General features: G+C 42.8%; 1 protein-coding gene across 14 annotated transcripts in view, besides 1 other annotated feature; it reads left to right on the top strand.

Annotated features, from left to right (window-relative positions):
- Positions 1-21,625, top strand: part of HAVCR1 (hepatitis A virus cellular receptor 1) — a 39,995-nt gene that overhangs the window by 15,151 nt on the left and 3,219 nt on the right. For 6 of the 14 annotated variants that reach the window (XM_024446023.2, XM_024446021.2, XM_024446020.2 and 3 more), the window contains exons 4-7: positions 1,603-1,896; positions 5,112-5,219; positions 11,575-11,630; positions 16,896-17,010. In XM_024446023.2, coding sequence (XP_024301791.1) covers positions 1,603-1,896; positions 5,112-5,219; positions 11,575-11,630; positions 16,896-17,010 — 573 coding nt within the window. Of the gene's footprint in view, positions 1-1,268; positions 1,310-1,602; positions 1,897-5,111; positions 5,220-11,574; positions 11,631-16,895; positions 17,011-21,369; positions 21,404-21,625 lie in introns of those variants that run through there. The other 8 variants (XM_047417097.1, NM_001173393.3, XM_047417096.1 and 5 more) reach the window with 4 other exon arrangements.
- Positions 3,554-4,113: an enhancer, noted in NCBI's record as "H3K27ac hESC enhancer chr5:156477155-156477714 (GRCh37/hg19 assembly coordinates)". NCBI's record gives its function as "activates a minimal SCP1, AML or CMV promoter by ChIP-STARR-seq in naive H9 embryonic stem cells {active_cell/tissue: H9 hESC(naive)}" and the evidence as "EXISTENCE:reporter gene assay evidence [ECO:0000049][PMID:30033119]".

The raw sequence follows: 21,625 nt of genomic DNA, 5'->3' as shown, positions 1-21,625 counted from the left end.
AAGTGCTGGGATTACAGGTGTAAGCCACCATGCAGGGCCTTTGTTTTTTTTTTTTTTTTTTTTTTTGAGATGGAGTCTCACTCGGTTGCCCAGGTAGCAGGCTGGAGTGCGGTGGTGTGATTGCTACTCACTGCAACCCCTGCCTCCTGGGTTCAAGTGATTGTCCTGCCTCAACCTCCTGAGTAGCTGGGACTACAGGAGTGCATCACCATGCCCGGCTAATTTTTAAAATTTTTTTTGTAGAGATATGGTTTCGCTATGTTGCCCAGGCTGGTCTCAAACTTCTGGGCTCAAGTGATCCACTTGCCTCGGCCTCCCAAAGGGCTGGGCCTACAGACATGAGCCACAGCACCCAGCCTTGCTGCTGACTTTTTGTTTTGTTTTTTTGAGACAGAGTCTTTCTCTGTCGCCCAGGCTGGGGTGCAGTGATGCGATCTCAGCTCACTGCAACCTCTGCCTCCTGGGTTCAAGCAATTCTCCTGCCTCGGCCTCCTGAGTAGCTGGGACTACAGGTGCGCACCACCATGCCTGGCTAATTTTTGTATTTTTAGTAAAGATGGGGTTTCATCATGTTGGCCAAGCTGGTCTCAAACTCCTGACCTCAGGCAGTCTACCCGCCTCGGCCTCCCAAAGTGCTGGGATTACAGGCGTGAGCTGCCGCGCCCGGCCGTTGCTGTTTCTTAATGAATCTTCTTCCACTAAGGTCTTACAATGATAATAGAACCCAATACCTACGACCTTAATAAGCTATGTCTCTATTTTCGTTTTAATTAAGAGGAATTTTAATTTGCAGTCTCTTAGCTTTTGGACTTGGATTGTTTCCCTTATAAGGGTGAGCAAGATGAGGTCAATTCTTTTTTTCTTTTTTTTTTTTAAGACAGGGTCTCGCTCTGTTTCTCAGGCTGGAGTGCAGTGGCCCAGTCTCTACTCACTGCAACCTCCACCTCTGGGGTTCATCAATCCTTATGCCTCAGCCTTTCAAGTAGCTGAGATTTCAGGCATGTGTCATCACACTTGACTATTTTTTGTAGAGATGGGGTTTCACCTGTTGCCCAGGCTGGTCTGGAACTCTGAACTCCTGAGCTGAAGTAGTCCACCCACCTTGGCCCCATAAAGTGCTGGGATTACAGGCGTGAGCCACCACGCCCAGTCTCTACAAAAAAAGTTTTTTTAAAAATTAGCCGGGTGTGGTGATGCCTGCATGTAGTCCCAGCTACTTGGGAAGCTGACACAGGAGGATTGCTTCAGCCTGGGAGTTCGAGGCAGCAGTGAGTTGATCATGCCACTGCAGTCCGGCCTGGATGACAGAGTGAGACCCTGCCCCCAAAAAAGTGCTTCAGTGCAAATATGAGGCGTCTGTTCTTATTTGCTGAATATGCATGCACCTTTCAATACATCTGCTTTTCTTTTGGAAGGAGGGGTATGTCTCCAAGGCCCTCTCCTGTCACAGTTTCTAGCTGGGCAATGACCAAGATTGACAGTTCAGGAAGTTAACTCCACCTAGGGACAGTCTGTCATTGGTGTGCTAGGGTACAGTTCCAGCCTGAGGCTCTTGTTTCTTGTTTGACTTATGCTCACTCTCATGTTGATTTCTGACTCCAGCCAAGGTCACGACTACTCCAATTGTCACAACTGTTCCAACCGTCACGACTGTTCGAACGAGCACCACTGTTCCAACGACAACGACTGTTCCAATGACGACTGTTCCAACGACAACTGTTCCAACAACAATGAGCATTCCAACGACAACGACTGTTCTGACGACAATGACTGTTTCAACGACAACGAGCGTTCCAACGACAACGAGCATTCCAACAACAACAAGTGTTCCAGTGACAACAACTGTCTCTACCTTTGTTCCTCCAATGCCTTTGCCCAGGCAGAACCATGAACCAGGTAAAACAGATGTGTTTGGAAGCCCAAAGGCCTTCTAATGAGGAGCTGCGGACCATCCAGGGCATTGTATCAAGGTAGAAGGACAGTCTAGAGTGAGGGGTCTTACCTGGGTTTCAATCAGGGTCTCCTCAGGGTTTGTGATCCTCCCCAACTCCCAAGTTGTATGCGTCTTTTGCACCAATGAGCATTTTTGGAGTGAGGGGACCCATTGCTTTTTGTCAATTCTCAAAGAAATTGATTATTAACCAAAAATAGCTGGACCACGGATGTAGAACATCTAACAGGGATACTGTGGATCTGACTCAGCTAGGTATGGCTTTATGATGAAAACACAGGGAATGCCAGAGAACCAAGGTCAGATAAATGAGATAGTGTCCTCACGAAGAGCTCTGAAGAGAGATCATTTAGTCCATTCTGAAAGCAGACCTTGATTTCAGAGAAGTTAACATTTACTGTTTTCTATCTACCAGGCACCATGCCTCATGCATTTAATTCTTAGGATAATTATATCCACTGTAGGTGTGGTTTATAATTGTTAGAACTGAGACAGAGTCTAAAAGTTCATTGTTGAAAGTTACACAGATAGAAGCCAGGTGCGGTGGCTCATGACTGTAATTTTAGCCGAGGAGTTCAAAACCAGCCTGGGCAACATAGTGAGAGACCTTGTCTCTACATGGTGGTGCATGCCTCTAGTCCCAGCCACTTGGGAGGCTGAGGTGGAGGAATCGCTTGGGGCCGGGAGGTCAAGTCTACAGTGAGCCATGATTGCACCACTGCACTCTAGCCTGGGTAACAGAGTGAAAAAGAAAGAAAAGAGAAAGAAAAAAGAAATTTACACAGATAGAAAGTGGTCGAGTCACGTTTTGATCTCTGTTAGCTTGAAATAGGGCCAGTACTTTTAACTACTGGATCATGCCTCCTATTATCAGCACTGAGTTTTATGTTTGGATGAGTTTGCCCTGATCTAACATTTTTACTGAAAAAAACCCTTAAACAACCACACTGTCTTTTCAGGGTAGTCAATGACTTACACATTTTTACTTCAAAGGTCCTTTAATTTATTTATGTACAGTGGAAATTGCAAAAGGTGTGATTTATACTTAGGAAAAAGTAACATTGGATTTAAGGGCTTTAGGGATTTAGAATGTACAGTTTATTTTTTTCAGTTCAGGCCATATAGTTGATACTTCAAATTCCCTGTAAATAAGACATTAGATTTAATACAAATAGAGGATAACTTGACTTATAGGTAGGGAAATAGCTTGTCATTCTGAGGACAAGTATAGGTTCAAATCTTCCATTTTCGGGATTTAAAAGATAACTTTTAGTGGAGATTCTCAAAGCCCTCAGAAATCCATTGACCCCTTAGGGTGGCTCTGGATTCTGAGGAGTAACAAATGTCGCAGCCTCTTAGCTGGAAAAATCTGATGGAACATATTGATTTCCCTTGACTGCCATTGAATTGTGTGTTTAACCAGGAGAGATCTGAAGGGTTGGGCTAGTAGCTCAGTTTGAAATAGAGGGTGTTAATTAGGTCATACCTGGGATTTTAGAGCCATAAAAGTTTTGTAAGAAAAACAGTTTTGTTCCAGGCAGCCGCACACACTAGAGAGTCTGTTAGACTTTCTCAATGTTGATTTCACTTTCTAATACTTAGCTTGTGTCTGCTAAGGTGGATGGATTAGTGGACTGGTTTTGGAGAACATCCCCAAGTCACTGATTTCATTTAAAGCCGAGATATGGGAGAAAGTTGCCTTTCTCCTAAGAGTTGGTTTATATGGCTATAACTTGGAGGATGGTATCACTTGAGGTTATTCTTATCTGGATAGTTCTCTAAAGAGTTTGCATGAGTTGAACATTACAGTCCAGGAATGAGAGAACCCTGGAGCAAATAGAACGCAGGGACATTTATCTTTGCATCCAATCTTCCCTGCTCAGTGCCCCTAGTACCTGCTTGCTGCCTAAAACTCCAGGGAACAATTGTATGTATGGTTGTAGGAGCAGTGGAGAAAAGAAAGATGCCATAAGGACCCAAACTTAGGAAAGAAGTTAAGCTCAAGAGATCTTTTGCACAGAACTCAATTGGGTACAGACTGCCCACGTGACTCTCCTGTGTTGTTCTGTTTTTCGTTCCGAAAGAGAGCCACATCCTCTTACAGGTTTGAGCACTAGAGGAAAACAGGAAAAAGTTGAGAACAGGAGAAAGAGCGATGTTGAAAAGTGAAGTTATTGAGACTGTGGTGGAGAAAGAGAAACAGACCAGTGAGAGGCAATAAGGAAAGCCAGGTTTGGGAATTCATCCAGTCACCGTCACTAATTGACTCTAAATTTCTGTGGTGCTCTAAGAGAAGGGAATCATGTAAATGCTTTGTGAAGAGGCAAGTGATCAACTTTGCAAATAAGGTGAGATATCTGATAGGAAATAAAGGAGGGATTTCAGGAAAGGAAAGGGGAATGTAGCCCTATGCTGGAGAATTCCTAATGGAAGCTTTACCGTGAGAAGTGTAAGATGAGTCAGAAAACACAGGAAATCACCCCTAAAGGAATGACTAGAATGCAGATGCAGAAGGAGCTGGGGTCAGGTCCTGCCAGGAACCTTACCTTTAGGGTTGTAAATCATTACCAAGGCTGACATTGGGCAATATTGTCAGCTTTAAGAGACCTCAAGGAATTAATATTGTATCTATTCTCTGTTAGTTATTAGATGTGTGGATAATTGAACTTGAGTAAGGCCAGGAAACCCAGAATGGGGCTGTTGTGAAGGGGGTAGGGCATGTTAGTGCAAATTCCTAAGCCCCCATTTTCTGAAAGTGAAATATCACTTGTATGAATAAAATAAAGCTTAATTGGGTATTCTACATAAAATGCCCTGTTGTTGGCTTTGTCTATTTAGAGGGAACCTGGGAGTATAGAAAGTTTGAGATAATCGTATATATTGACTATGTGGAACATTATCTAGATCGCATTTCCTCATGTTAATGAGATAATTAGATAGCAGGGCAATGCCTGAAGGCCATCTTTGAATACATTTCTAAGAGGAGCCGAAAGGTTCAGAAGTGGGTCGGTAGAAGCCCTGCATGCCCACTGTGGAAGGCCAGGAGAAGGGCCCATGGAAAGGTGATGGTAATTCCTGATTCTAGTTTTGTTCTTTATTTTTCTTGGGGTGCACATTTTCCTCCACAAATGGAACAATTCTTCCATTCTTTTCATTCCAGTAGCCACTTCACCATCTTCACCTCAGCCAGCAGAAACCCACCCTACGACACTGCAGGGAGCAATAAGGAGAGAACCCACCAGCTCACCATTGTACTCTTACACAACAGGTAACTGCGTTCTCTTTCCTGAAGACCTGGGATCATTCAAACCTTGATAACCATTGACTTTGTTGAGAGCACACGCTCTGGAATACGACTGATCTGAGTGCCAACACCAGGCACACAGATCAGTCATTTGACTTGTACAAATATCTACCCTTTCTGAATGTTTTGTCATTGGTGTGTGTGTGTGTGTGTGTGTTTTCTTTTTTTTTCTGAGATGGAGTCTCGCATTGTTGCCCAGGCTGGAGTGCAGTGGCACGATCTCGGCTCACTGCAAGCTCCGCCTCCCAGGTTCACGCCATTCTCCTGCCTCAGCCTCCCGAGTAGCTGGGACTACAGGCGCCCGCCACCACGCCCGGCTAATTTTTTGTATTTTTAGTAGAGTCGGGGTTTCACCGTCTTAGTCACGATTGTCTCGATCTCCTGACCTCGTGATCTGCCCGCCTCCACCTCCCAAAGTGCTGGGATTACAGGCATCAGCCACCGTGCCCAGCTGTTTTGTCATTTGTAAAAAGGATGTAATACCAAGATCTTGCAGAATGCTTGTGAGGATCAAATGGGATGAAAGATTTGGGACATGGTTACAGGGGGTAAGTGATAAATATAATAGCAGCTATTATTATTATTCCTTAGAACATCAAGAATCCAAATGCCTGACTGCACAGATAGCTTATGTGATTTGGAAACATCCACATGCATATTACCTTGTTTTTAGAAATCAAATCAACCAGTCTTGAATCTGAACATATTATTTTGACTTGATTCCTTGGGCCAGGGCCTTAAAACAATTAAATCCAGCCCTCTGATGTTTAGCTCAAACACCAGACCCTATGCTTCTGACAAGTCCCAGACCCCAAAAAGTACCAGGAGGCTTCCACTGATTCATCAAATTTGTATTTACATGAGCATTCTCAGATGGGGCTATGATTTGAATGTTTGTGTCCTCGCTATTAAGGGAAACTCCCAAACTGGGTTTTCTGTCTCTTCTCACACCACGTCAACAACAATCATCAACTCAGATGAAGACTTCTGTGACCGAATGTGTGGAGTTTTTTCCCCATACATCAAGCAGTGGACACCGGCTGTGTCTTTAATTCAGTTCTTACACTGTCTACCCGGAGAGAGGGTCATATCCCACAGGTAAGGGGCTCAGTCCCCAAGACTGCCCCTCCCAACCCCACCACACACACCAGTCACAAGTTCGGGTCTCTGGAACTTCTGAGCGGCCAGTTTCAAGTTGGGGTTCCCACAACCCTCTCTTTGGGTTCTATTAATTTCCTGGAGTGGCTTCCAGAACTCAGGGAAACACTTATGTTTACCAGATAATTATAAAGGATATTGCAAAGGATACTGATGATGAGATGCACAGGATGAGGTATATGGGAAAGGGTTCCATGCTCTTCCTTGGGAACTTCACCTTCTAGGAACCTCCAAGTGTTTGACTATCTGGAAGCTCTCAAAACCTAGTCTTCTTGTACTTTTTTTTTTTTTGAGACGGAGTCTTGCTCTGTCATCACCCAGGCTAGAGGGCAGTGACATGATCTTGGCTCACTGCAACCTCTGCTCCCAAGTTCAAGCAATTCTCCTGCCTCAGCTTTCCAAGTAGCTGGGATTACACGTATGCGTCATCCTGCCCGGCTAATTTTGTATTTTTAGTAGAGATGGGGTTTCATCATGTTGTCCAGGCTGGTCTTGAACTCCTGACCTCAGGTGATCTGCCCACCTCAGCCTTCCAAAGTGTTGAGATTACAGGCGTGAGCCACCGCACCCAGGCCTTTTGGGTTTTTATGGAAACTTCAAGACATCAACATTCCATCCCCCAGGGGCACAGGGAAGGACTCTCTCTGGGAAGTGTCTTATGACCCACAATCAGAAAGGCGGGGGAAATTAAAGTTCTGCCTTGTCAGGTGAAAGGAGAGCAGGAGAAAGTCCAATATTGTTTCCTGAGGTCAAACATACTTACCATGATAAGAAAAGACTATAATCAGGGATATGGGAGTTATGAGCCAGGAACCATGCACAGACCTCTATCTATCTATATATGTATGTATAATCTCATAACACCACACCCCTAAATTCATGTTGATAGATAATTCCCAAATTCATGTTGATAGCTAATTCCCAATGCAAGTATTAAGAGCTGGGGCCTTCGGAGCATGATTAGGTCATGAGAGCCCCGCCTTCATGAATGGAATCAATGCTCTTATAAAAGGCCCAAGTTACATTTTCTGGATGGGAGAGAAACAATAAATTAATTAGTTAAACAAAAAGAGGCCCAAGGGAACTTGTTTGACCCTTCCCCCATATAAGAACAAATAGAAGACACCATCTATAGGAAAGAGGACCCTCACTAGATTGAGTAATCAGCCTGTGCCTTGATCTTGGACTACCCAGCCTCGAACTGTGAGCAATAAATTTCTGTTTAAATTACCCAATCTAAGCTATCTTATCATAGCAGCCTGAACAGACTAAGACAGATGAGTTGAGGACACCCACACCAACATCAAAGAGGCATGACCCTCTGAGATCCTGCTACTCTGCTCCAAACAATCCTTACTATTCTTTCAAGTCTGAACAGGCCTCTTAGAGTCTCTGCTCCTTGGAAGTGTAGAATTGACCTGTCTTTCCTTGTGATGGAGAAAGTTGATGCTGAAACCTGTCATCTTTCCCAGCTAACTCTCCTTGTTTCCCTTAGTGGTAAGCTCTGGGAGTGCCCTGTGCTGAGCTCCTCTGTGATGCTGAGCTGGCTCTGTGTCCTTGTGTGGCATCCAAGCAAGGTCACACCTTGCAGGCCTCCTTGTGTGTATGACTCATTGTACTCAGCTGTTGCCAATCTGTAGGCAGCTGCTCCCCAGCCTACATGGCCTACTTTTTTTGCCAATCATTCCTGGTAGCTGGTTAATTTAAAATGGACCTGCAGTGTGATTCACAGAGGGACTCATTCAACTGGGATTAGATAATGGCGACATTTCGTTTTGAAAGTGTAATCCTCAGCGCAAACTGTTTCCAGGCACAAAAGCAAAATGAAAATAGATAAAAACACAACGTAACAGTGGTAGGAGCAGCTGCACCCCACTCTTTGAGAGTGTAAGGAGGAAGAAAGTAGGAGTGGGGAATCATTCTCCGAAATACTATGTCAGTGAAACCTGGTCAAAGTAGAGTTTTCCAGGTGGAACAGACAGTGGAGCAGCTGTATCCCCAGGATTTGTGTGGCTGCTGCCATTTTGGCCGTGGATCCAAGGCTCTTGGGCCAAGTTCTTACTGTGCCTGGGTTGGCCCTCAGTTGCCTAAAGCCCATGGAAGCAAGGAATATTAGATCTGGAAAGGATTGGAGCTGTCATATGGCCCACTACCCACCTTTGACAGATGTATGTGCCAGGAAATGGATATATTATCTTGTTTAATTCTTTCAAGGCAGGCCATATTTAATGCTATTGCCAGATTGAGGAGGCGCTATAAATCTGCTCTGGAGACACACAACTCCCATTTCAGCTATAAGTTACTAGTTCTGTGCCCACAGGAAAATTGTTGAACATTCCTCTTTGAATGATTAGAGTATATGATATTTGGAAAGTGCATTGCATAGTATCTATCCCTCCCTCCTCCCCACTCCTCTTCCCATTATATAATAATAATAGCTTAGTGCCAACCACTTTACATGCATCATCTAATTTAATTGTAACAACTTGATGGGCTGTGTACTATTAATAGGTTGTAGTTCATGCGTACTGTAGCTAGAAATATATATATAGTAGTTTTCCCCTTATCTGCAGTTTTGCTTTTCTGTAGCAGTCAACTATATTCCTCAAATACTAAGATATTTTGAGAGAGACTAAATTCCCATAGCTTTTATTACAGTTTATTTCTATAATTTTTCTATTATATTATTTATTGCTGTTAATATCGTTCTGTGCCTAATTTGTAAATTGAACTTTTATCATAGGTATGTATATCTAGGAAAAACATGGTCTCTATAGGGTTTGGTACTATCCTTGGTTTCATGCATCTACTTGAGGGTCTTGGAACATATCCCCTGTGGATAAGGGGGCACTACTGTATACACACACACACATACACACATAAACACACACCCCTTTATATACCTATACATACATACATAACTGTGTGTATGAAAAGGACCTTGAGTATCAAAGTTACATTGCTAACAGACATTGTCAGCATTGAACTGAAATTTTATTGACTCCGGTCCGTGCTGTTTTTCTGCATCACCCCATCCTCTTCCTGAAACTGTTACTTAAGGTCATAATACCTGTCACAAACAGGGCTGAGATTCTATATATTGCATAAACCTACATATTGCTTTTGGCTTTCTTTTCTCCTTCCTTCCTTCCTTCCTCCCTCCCTCCTTTCTTTCTTTCTTTCTTTCTTTCTTTCTTTCTTTCTTTCTTTCTTTCTTTCTTTCTTTCTCTTTCTTTCTTTCTTTCTTTCTTTCTTTCCTTCTTTCTTTGTCTTTCTTTCTCTCTCCTTCCTTCCTTCCTCCTTTCTTCTTTCCTTTCTTTCTTTCCTTCCTTCCTCCTTCCTTCCTTCCTTCCTTCCTTCCTTCCTTCCTTCCTTTCTTTCTTTCTTTCTTTCTTTCTTTCTTTCTTTCTTTCTTTCTTTCTCCTTCCTTCCTTCCTTCCTTCCTTCCTTCCTTCCTTCCTTCCTTCCTTCCTTCGTCCTTTCTTTCTCCCTTCCCTTCCCTTTCCTTCCTTCTTTCTCAGTCTCACTCTGTTGCCCAGGCTGGAGTGCAGTGGCACAATCTTGGCTCACTGTAATCTCCACCCCCTGAGTTCAAGCAATTCTTGTGTCTCAGCCTCCCAAGTAGCTGGAATTACAGATGTGCAGCATCACGCTGGCTAATTTTTTATATTTTTAGTAGAGATGGGGTTTCACCACATTGGCCAGGCTGATCTTGAACTCCTGACTTCAAGGGATCTGCCTGCCTCAGCCTCCCTAAGTGCTGGGATTACAGGCATGAGCCACTGTGCCTGGCCTTGCCTTTGGCTTTCTAGGAAGCCTCAGAAGCAGTAAAATGTAAACACAGTAATGTAAATGTTGGGGAGATATTAGTCCAAGTTTATTCATGTTGAGCCCTATAGCATTGTCACCAGTTACAGAATTTCATAGACCTAAGTATTTCCATTTGATAGAAGTGCAATGTGTTGTGTAGGTTATCAGCAGAGGCTCTTGTCACTTAATTAGAAATCATCGTTTAACCATTTCCTGTGTATTTCTTTATCCATAAAAATGGGATTAAGGAACTAACTGGTTGTTAGAAGGTAAAGTGTTCACTACATGGTAGATGCTCAGTAAAAAGTCAGTTCTGTATTTGACCTATAGTTGTCTAGGAAGGCCAACAGAATATACTCTTTTTTGGGGACAGGGTCTCACTCTGTTGCCCAGCCTGGAGTGCAGTGGTGCCATCACAGCTCACCGAAACCTCTGCCTCCAAGGTTCAGGGATTCTCCTACCTCAGCCATCCGAGTAGCTAAGTCTACAGGCATGTGCCACCATGCCCAGCTAATTTTTTGTATTTTTTGTTAGAGATGGGATTTCACTATGTTGGCCAGGCTGGTCTTGAACTCCTGACCTCAAGTGATCCGCCTGCCTTGGACTCCCAAAGTGCTTGGGTTTATAGGCATGAGCCACCCATGCCTGGCTGAGAATATACTGTCTATTACAAAGCAGATATTTTAAAACATGTTGAAATTTTTAAATGTTCAACTCTAAGAGAAATGTATCTTATATATTACATAAAATCTTAATCCTTATATGGCATAATATGCTTGATCTGGTGGCTGCCATATTTTCTAAAGCACTTCTAGATCAAAATGTAAGCACATCGGCAACAACACAGGAGTTATATGCCACCTGTTTTTGATATTACAGCATATTTTACTCCTTCTGAATATAAAACCAATATGATGTCCATTCTGAAAAGGGTGGTTCTGGTTTTTGGATGTACATGCCTCTGACCATTCATTTACAGCTGTTTAGATAGCATAAAAGTATTGATTGCCTTTAAATGGCATTCTTAACCTGGTTCCATGAATGGGCTTCTGTGATGACCCTAAAATAGTAGATAAAATTCATGTGTGTGCACATGCATTATTTTTTTAATAAAGAAAAAACAAGAGTCCATTTTCAAAGAGCCGGTGACAGAAAGGTTAAGAAATACAACTTTACAGGAGAAATTAATATAACATTAATAACTTGGTATGACTCTTGCAGTGCCTGCAGAATTTGGTCATATTATCATTCAACTTTTCATCGCCAGAAGGTAATGTGAATATATTTAGTGTCTGCAGTGAAAATTCAATATTTTTTGTAATTCTAATTAAATTTCCTTCTTGTTGAGTAGATGGGAATGACACCGTGACAGAGTCTTCAGATGGCCTTTGGAATAACAATCAAACTGTAAGCATATTCCGCCCTATTTGATTAGCCAGATTCACTTGTATATCTCCTTGGAAGCAAGTTACATTTAAAGACTATGTCTGTAAGACTAGCCCACAGAATTTTTTTTTTCTTCTTAAAAAAAAGTTGAAGAAAATAATTTCACTCTTAAATAGGATGCTTTAATTTTTTTTTTTTTTTTTTTTGAGACGGAGTCTTGCTCTGTTGCCCAGGCTGGAGTGCAGTGGTGCAATCTCTGCTCACTGTAAGCTCCGCTTCCCGGGTTCAGGCCATTCTCCTGCCTCAGCCTCCCGAATAGCTGGGACTACAGGCGCCCGCCACCATGCCCGGCTAATTTTTTGTATTTTTAGTAGAGACGGGGTTTCACCGTGTTAGCCAGGATAGTCTCGATCTCCTGACCTCATGATCCGCCCGCCTCGGGATGCTTTAATTTGGAAAGTTCATTTAGGTGACCCAGTTTGTCAGAGATGCCCAAAGAGATTATGTTACTGAATAGCGTACTTAGATACATAGTACACAGACTTTCTGTTGGGAGAAAATAGGGGAAGAAAGAATGAGCTAATTTTTTGAGACAGAACATCACTCTGTCTCCTAGGCTGGAGTGTAGTGATGCGATCTCAGCTCACTGCAACCTCCGCCTCCTGGGTTCAAGCAATTCTCCTGCCTCGGCCTCCAGAGTAGTTGGGACTACAGGCGCACGCCACCACGCCTGGCTAATTTTTGTATTTTTAGTAGAGGTGGGGTTTCACCATGTTGGCCAGGCTAGTCTCAAACTCCTGACCTCAGGCAATCTACCCGCCTCGGCCTCCCAAAGTGCTGGGATTACAGGCGTGAGCCACCGCGCCCGGGCCCGAATGAGCTAATTTAAGGAGAACAAGTTAAGATAACACACCAAGGAGGAATTCAATTATCAATAGGGAAACAGCATGCTTTGATGGGGTGGAGTAGAGGCTGCCCCAAACAAAAGTAAAATGTAAGTGAAAGGAACATAATATGTTTATTTTCCTAATATATTTTCCCTACCTAATGACCATTTTATGTAGAAATTTTAAAATGTCTATTGATGTTTTTCTATACATAAACCTCCCCATGGGATGACTTTTTATTCTTTCTTTCTTTTTTTTATTTTTTGAGACAGTCTTGTTCTGTCACCCAGGCTGGAGTGCACTGGCGGGATCCCAGCTCACTGCAACCTCCTCTTCTTGGGTTCAAGTGATTCCCCTGCCTCAGCCTTCCAAGTAGCTAGGATTACAGGTGCATACCACCATACCTGGATAATTTTTGTGTTTTTAGTAGAGATGAGGTTTCATCATGTTTACCAGGCTGGTCTTGAACTTCTGATCTCAAGTGATCCTCCCGCCTTGGCCTCCCAAAGTGCTGGAATTACAGGCGTGAGCCACCGTACCCGGCCCAGGATGATTTTTTAAGATAACAAAGTCCTAGATAATAACTTTGATTCTGTAAAATGTTTCCATACTTTTTTTCTCAGTGAACTTGGGAAAAATTTAAGGGACTTAGTCTTATGATGCTCATCAAAGTCTTCTACCTCCATGTAAGTTAGATAGATTTACTAATAAGATCTTTTCTTTTGGCTCCTGTAAGAAACAATCTGCCTTTTAGTATGTGCAAGTAACTTTTTGAAGTAACAAACAAAAAAAGTCTGAGGTTATGAGAATAATCCTTCTGAGGTTTTTATTTTTTATTATTTATTTATTTATTTATTTTTGAGACAGGGTTTTACTTTCATCGCCCAGGCTGGAGTACAGTTTCACAATCTCAGCTCACTGCAACCTCCACCTTCCGGGTTCAAGTGATTCTTGTGCCTCAGCCTCCCCAGTAGCTGGGATTATAGGCGCCCACCACCATGCCTGGCTAGTTTTTGTGTTTTTAGTAGAGATGGAATTTCACCACGTTGGCCATGCTGGTCTGGAACTCCTGACCTCAGGTGATCTGCCTGCCTTGGCCTCCCACAAGTGCTGGGATTACAGGCATGAGCCACCGCAGCTGGCCCGAGAATAATCCTTCTGATAGCCAGTTGTAAGAAATGACAACGTGGCCATTGTATAAAAAATTCAAAATGATCAAAGTGGGGCTATTTAGTGTAGAGCCAAATACCTTAGTGACATTGTGAATGCCATTACATGGCGTAACATTTAAACATTTAGCAACTTGTATGGCATGCACTGATTGATCTGACATACTGGCTAAATATCAGAACTACCACCATGTATATGTTCAATGTGTTGACGTGTGGCTAGATTTGTGCTGGATTTAAAAAATACTCCTCAGGATAGTGAGGTTATTCTTTTCTTTTCTTTTTTTTTTTTTGAGACAGAGTTTCACTCTTGTTACCCAGGCTGGAGGGCAATGGCGCGATCTTGGCTCACTGCAACCTCCGCCTCCCAGGTTCAAGCAATTCTCCTGCCTCAGCCTCCCGAGTAGCTGGGATTACAGGCACCTGCCACCAGGCCTGGCTAATTTTGTGTTTTTAGTAGAGACAGGGTTTTTCCATGTTGGTCAGGCTGGTCTCCAACTCCCGACCTCAGGTGATCCACCCGCCTTGGCCTTCCAAAGTGCTGGGATTCCACAGACGTGAGCTACCGCGCCTGGCCGGTGAGGTTATTCTTGGTCTCAGTTACCTACAGAATAGGTATGTTTAGAAGTAAGGGAAAACAATTTAGAGGCCGGTTCAAGGTTGGCAGTAGCAGAAACTTGGGCTTTCTGTGCCTTGACTGAAGATGTCAAGATGTCTTCTCCCAGGTATCTTGAAAACATGCAGAATACATTTTGACCCAGTAGGTCACTTTCCTGGGCTCTATCTTAAGGAAAAAATTGAACTAATAAATAAAAATGTATGAGAAGGATGTTCATTGTTAACACTTATAATCATGAAAATATTATAAACAACCTAAATGTTTAATAGTAAGGGATTACTTAGTTAAGCATGTGCACGTATTGCCGTAAAGAATGTAGTCATTGGCAGGGCACGCTGGCTCACGCCTGTAATTCCAGCACTTTGGGAGGCTGAGGCAGGTGGATCACCTGAGGTCAGGAGTTTGAGACCAGCCTGACCAATATGATGAAACCTCCTCTGTACTAAAAATAGAAAAATTAGCTGGGTGTGGTGGCGGGTGCCTGTAATCCCAGCTACTTGGGAGGCTGAGGCAGGAGAATCGCTTCAACCCAGGAGGTGGAGATTGCAGTGAGCCGAGATTGCACCACTGTACTCCAGCCTGGGCAACAGAGCATAAGAATGTAGTCATTGCAGTGCATTTACTGACATAGGTTATAGAATGTTATAATATGTTGGTTATAACACATTATTAAGTGAAAGAAGCTACTTTTAAAATAGTATACAATTAGGATATACTATAGTTCATATAGAATATAGTAATTATTTCTGTTAAGAAAAAATCCTAGAAGGATAAAATTCTATAAAAGTATATAAAGCAAAATGGCAAAAGTGCTCATTTCTGGATGTTAAAGTTATGGTTTATTTATTTATTCGAGACAGAGTCTCACTCCATTGCTCAGGCTGGAGTGCAGTGGCACGATCACAGCTCACTGCAGACTCATCCTCCCAGGCTCAAGTGATCCTCCCACCCCAAGCCTCCCAAGTAGCTGGGACCACAGGCATGCATCACCACGCCTGGCCAGTTTTATTTTTTTCTGGAGACAGGGTCTCACCAAACTGGTCTCAAACTCCTGGGCTCAGGCTATCCTCCTGCCTTAGCCTCCCAAAGTGCTAGGATTATGGGTGTGAGCCACTGTCCGTGACCTGGTTGTGGTTTTTTTAGTTTTCCTTTTTTATGCTTAGCTGCACATTCTAAAATGAGCATGCAGTATTTGTGTGTTGTAATTAAAAAATGAAAGCAAAGCCTGCCTCCTGAAACCCCATTCTCCATCTACCCACATTACACTTCCCTCCCACCCTGTAGGTAAAGTAATAACAACATAGTTTTGCACTCCCAGACACTGGCTATGCCGCTTCTAAGCAAGCATGGCTCAAATGCTGTTACTCCACTATATTCATAGTGTTTATCAGGAAGGACCTGAAAGTACCCTTGCAAAGAACCCTATTGAATCTACTGTCTATGTCTATTGCTAGACATAGAAATAGATTCAGAGAGGCTAAATAGCTTGTCCATGGTCACATAGTGACTAAGTAGAAGACCTGGGATTCTGACTCCAGGGATTAAGATTTTACAAATGAGAAGATTTGTCCTTCACTCAGATTCTCCCCCTTCCTTCTATTAAAATACCTTCCCGGTGGGCTCTCTTTAGGATTAGAACTAAGCCATGAAATGGGGACCAGCAGGAAGCCAGGCACATTTCAGGCCTATTCCAGGAGGTGATGATCTCTTGTGATAGGCACCAGAAGACTTAAACAATTTTACATTTCTTCATGATTGCATAGCGTTGAATTGTTAATCATGGCCATGTCTGTGTGCAGCTACTCTCAAATCTATTTATTTAGATAGAGACAGAATCTTCTATTACAGGTAAAAAGACAAGTAAGGACTGTAACCAAGGACAAAATTCAATAACTGAGCACATTAAGATAACATCACATCAAGTCAATTTATATAAACAATTTTTTTTTCTTTTTTTCTTTTTTTCGAGATGGAGTCTCACTCTGTTGCCCAGGCTGGAGTGCAATGGCGAAATCTTGGCTCACTGCAACCTCCCGGGTTCAAGCAATTTTTTGCCTCCGCCTCCCAAGTAGCTGGGATTACAGGCGTGCAGCACCACACCCAGCTGATTTTTGTATTTTTAGTAGAGATGGGGTTTCACCATGTTGCCCAGGCTGGTCTCGAACACCTGACCTCAGGATGCCTGGGCTCCCAAAGTGCTGGGATTAGAGATGTGAGCTACCATGCCTGACATTTTTTCTTTTTTAATATCACAAGAGGATGTATTTGTGGAAATAGCCTATTGACTTTTAAAACAGTAAATTAAAAAATTTACATACAAACCCATTTTAAGCATACAGTTTTAGTTTTGACAAATGTGTACACCTATGTAAATACAACCTCAAGCAAGCTAGAAAACACCTCCATCATTGTAAAATATGTTTTGCGTTTCAAGTTGTCCTAGATTTTCACCGTATGGTTATAAACTGAGATCATTTGGTCTTACCCTTATGTTCCAGAAGTCCCCAAGCACCAATACAGGTAAATGTGGCTGGGTAAGTGATTCTGGGAAATGTTTTCTCTTCATAACTTTCTAACAAGATGCTTTTTTGATCTGTTGTTGTTTCCTCAGCAACTGTTCCTAGAACATAGTCTACTGACGGCCAATACCACTAAAGGAATCTATGCTGGAGTCTGTATTTCTGTCTTGGTGCTTCTTGCTCTTTTGGGTGTCATCATTGCCAAAAGTAAGTCATTTCGAGATTGTTCCTAAGGGACAAGGGATGTACAGCAAAATTGCCTGGGTTCACTAGTTTCATAAGTCACATGATTTTGATTTCACACGACTTCCCTTTGTCTCCCCAAATCCTCATTTGTAAAAGTCACATGGTAATACCATCTACCTCAAGGGGGAAGGGAAATGAAGTTTAAATGCATTGGTACCTACAAAGCACTAAGAATGGGAGCTGGGTGTGGGGTCTTATGCCTGTAATCCTAGCTACTTGGGAGGCTGAGTGAGGCAGGAGGATTGCTTGAGCCCAGGAGTTCAAGACTAGCCTGAACAACATGGTGGGACCCCATTTCTTAAAAAAAAACAAAAACAAAACAAAAAAGCAAAACAAAACAAACAAACAAAAAAACCATTAAAAAAAGCACCAGCCAGGAGCAGTGGCTCATGTCTGTAATCCCAGCACTTTGGGAGGCTGAGGCAGGAGGATTGCTTGAGCCCAGGAGTTCAAAACCAGCCTGGGCAACATAGTGAGACATTGTCTCTAAAATAAAAGGAAAAGAACAAAAAGAAAAAGCACTGAGAATGGTTCCTGGCACATGACAAGTGCACAGCAATCTTAAACTGTAATTGTAGTTAGAAAGATCCTTTTGCCATAAATCTCTATAAATCTCATGGAAGTTACATTCTAGTGGAGTTTTCACTTAAAACCACTATTTTTTAAACTTGTTATTTTTCAATTATTATTCCCCTATGGAAAAAATTTAATTCTATAAGAATTTTTTTGAGACAGAGTTTCTCTCTTGTCTCACAGGCTGGAGTGCAATGGCACGATCGTGGCTCACTGCAACCTCCACCTCCTGAGTTCAAGCCATTCTCCTGCCTCAGCCTCCTGAGTAGCTGGGACTACAGGCGCCCGCCACCACGCCCGGCTAATTTTTTGTATTTTTTAGTAGAGATGGGGTTTCACCGTGTTAGTCAGGATGGTCTCGATCTCCTGACCTTGTGATCCGCCTGCCTTGGCCTCCCAAAGTGCTGGGATTACAGGCATGAGCCACCACGCCCGGCCGAATTTTTGTATTTTTAGTAGAGACGGGGTTTTGCCATGTTGGCTAGGCTGGTCTCAAACTCCTAACCTCAGGTGATCCACCTGCCTCGGCCTCCCAAAGTTCTAGGATTACAGGCATGAGCCACAATGCCAGGCCAAGAAAAACTAAATACAGGTGTTCCTCAGTACCCTTGGGGGATTGGTTCCAGAGCCCCTTGATTCCAAAATCTGCAGATGCTCAAGTCCCTTATAAAATGGTGTAGTATTTGCACATAGCCTACTCACTTCCTCCAGTATACTTTAAATCTTCCCTAGATTACTTAGAACACCTAATATACAACGTAAATGCCATGTAAATAGTTGTTATATTGTATTGTTTTTATCTGTATTATTATTGTTGTGTATTATTTTTATTTTTTTTTTAATTTTCAATTTGCGAGTGGTTGAAACTGAGGATGCCAAACCTGTGGACATCGAGGGCCAACTGTATCAAGAAATAGGAGTTTGTTGGGTAGTGTTGCGATCTGGAAGTCAACACACCATTGTGATATATAAGATTTATTTTCTCCACCCTACAAGATCTAATTTTTTTCCCTGTGGGGGTGATATTGTTAAAATTTTGCAACACTCATTTAGCAGAAGAGGCACATGAGACACTGGGAGGGGAAACTGATAGCAAGACACAGACTAAAAAAGTAAAACAAAAGTCTTCAAAAAGCAACCACCCCAGGCTTCATGTCTCCCTTCTGCTAACTGTGTGTGTGTGTGTTTGTCTCAGTATAACCTGCCTCCCATAAAAGAACCCTAGTTAGCTATTTTGCAAGATGTGGTATTTGAAGCCATGACTGATTTAGTTCATGGGTCTAGGCAGAGGAGAATCAGAAAATTAAGAGTATGTTTGGCAAATTTGAGGAAGTTTTTATATAATTATTTTGGAGCTTGCTTAGTCAAAGTTATTTAGAAATTGGGTAAAATACCTTGCAGGGAAGTTCAAACTTTCCCTCTGAAATTTTGATACTTGAGTACGCCAAAAAAAAAATAGATTATTAGGAGATTAACAGGAGAAAATGAATACATATTTATTATGTGTACAGAAGCCACACAAAATATGAGATGGAAGAAAGGGCCAGATGACTGGAGCTTAAATACCCTTTTCTTTCTTTTTTTTTGGAGACAGAGTCTCTTGCTCTGTCACTCAGACTGGAATGCAGTGGTGTGATCTCAGCTCTGTGGGGGAAAAGAAAGAGAGATCAGACTGTTACTGTGTCTATGTAGAAAGAAGAAGACATAAGGAACTCCAGTTTGTTCTGTACTAAGAAAAATTCTTCTGCCTTGAGATGCTGTTAATCTGTAACCCTAACCCCAACCCTGTGCTCGCAGAAACATGTGCTGTGTTGACTCAAGGTTTAATGGATTAGGGCTGTGCAGGAGGTGCTTTGTTAAAAATGTGTTTGCAGGCAGTATGCTTGGTAAAAGTCATCGCCATTCTCCAGTCTCGAGTACCCAGGGACAAAATGCACTGCGGAAGGCCTCAGGGACCTCTGCCCAAGAAAGCCTAGGTATTGTCCAAGGTTTCTCCCCACTGAGACAGCCCGAGATATGGCCTTGTGGGAAGGGAAAGACCTGACCCTCCCCGAGCCCGACACCCGTAAAGGGTCTGTGCTGAGGATTAGTGAAAGAGGAAGGCCTCTTTGCAGTTGAGATAAGAGGAAGGCATCTGTCTCCTGCTTGTCCCTGGGAATGGAATGTCTCGGTGTAAAACCCGATCATACATTCTATTTACTGAGATAGAAGAAAACTGCCTTATGGCTGGAGGTGGGACATGCTGGCAGCAATACTGCTCTTTACTGCACTGAGATGTTTGTGTAAAGTCAAACATAAACCTGGCCTACGTGCACATCGAGGCACAGCACCTTTCCTTAAACTTATTTATGACACAGAGACCTTTGCTCACATGTTTTCCTGCTGACCCTCTCCCCACCATTACCCTATAGTCCTGCCACATCCCCCTCACTGAGACAGTAGAGATAGAGATCAATAAATACTGAGGGAACTCAGAGACAAGTGCCGGCGTGGGTCCTCCGTATGCTGAGCGCCGGTCCCTTGGGCCCACTGCTCTTTCTCTATACTTTGTCTCTGTGTCTTATTTCTTTTCTCAGTCTCTTGTCCCACCTGATGAGAAATACCCACAGGTGTGGAGGGGCTGGCCCCCTTAAAGCTCACTGCAACCTCTGCCTCCCAGGTTCAAGCAATTCTCCTGCCTCAGCCTCCTGAGTAGCTGGGATTACAGGCTCGTGCCACCACACCCGAATGATTTTCGTGTTTTTAGTAGAGATGGGGTTTTCACCATGTTGGTCAGGCTGGTCTTGAACTCCTGACCGCCTGCCTCTGCCTCCCAAAGTGTTGGGATTGCAGGCATGAGCCACTGCACCTGGCCTTAAATACCCTTTTCTTAGGGGAGAGAAAAGTGATGGATGTAGACAATTTTAGAGGAAGAGTAAATGATTTTTAGGGGAGATGAATGGGCCCAAAGAACAGACTGTAGGGCAGGACAAATTCCTCTGGACTCTGGATGTGTTGTCAGCTCTAGTCTCCTTCCTGTGATGTGCATCAGTTCCCCCACCACCCCCACCCGCCCCCGCCCCCGCCCTGCCATTGATGAGATATCGAGATATCTGGGGAAAGGATTGACAACAACAGAATATCTTCTGGAGGATCTGGCCTTTAGCTAGATAGGGGAGCTTCAGAGAAAGCCCTTTCCTAAATATGCTCCTCCCCAGGTGCTCTCACTTTGAATTCCAAAGAAGCCTATTTGAGGGTATTGTATTCTGAGCCCTAACAACCTCAAAATATACTTTACTCCTTAAGCAAAAATAACTCATTATTTCCTTGTTTAGGAGAGAGATGACTGGTAGTACAAACTCTTGCAAAAGTATCCTTTGATAGAGGTGACTCTTAAAGTATCTTTATGACCCAGTTCATCTAAAACAAATCTTGGTTGACGCCTGTTGTTCAGTAGCCTATCAGAAGGATCTTGGACTTACTCATTTTTTTTAAAAAAATGAAAGATAATTTAAGAATTGCATTAAAGTTAGGGAGGATATGTGGATGAATACACCAAACCATTAATGAAATTGAGATACTGGACAGTAAATGGCTTGTTTGGGTCCTGCAGAATCAAAAGGGACATGGGAAGGAGACACCTCAAGGTACCAGGGAAAAATCTAAGTAATAACAGAAATAATACACTTGATTGAAAAAAAGATTAAAACTCTTGCTGAGATGTTTAGTTTTCTCTTCAACTCCTCTCTCCCCACCCCTTCAATTTAGAGTATTTCTTCAAAAAGGAGGTTCAACAACTAAGGTAAGCTCGAAAATATTTCTATCAATACTTTTGAGGTTCCTACTCTGGTAAAATAAAAATAGATTTCTGTCTCTCTCCTAAACTCTCCATCGCATACCTTGGATCCTGACAGTCCACTTTAATGAGCAATTCTATTATTTACACCTTCCAGTGATATTTGTAGCTTTGTGTATTTCCCTGGAGTTGTGGCAGAGCTGGTACAGAGGGAGCACCTCAATCCTA

The sequence above is a fragment of the Homo sapiens genome, chromosome 5, assembly GCF_000001405.40.
Source record: "Homo sapiens chromosome 5, GRCh38.p14 Primary Assembly".
Lineage (NCBI taxonomy): Eukaryota > Metazoa > Chordata > Mammalia > Primates > Hominidae > Homo > Homo sapiens.
Note: the sequence above shows the minus strand (reverse complement) of the source record. Positions and strands in the feature narration are given on the sequence as shown.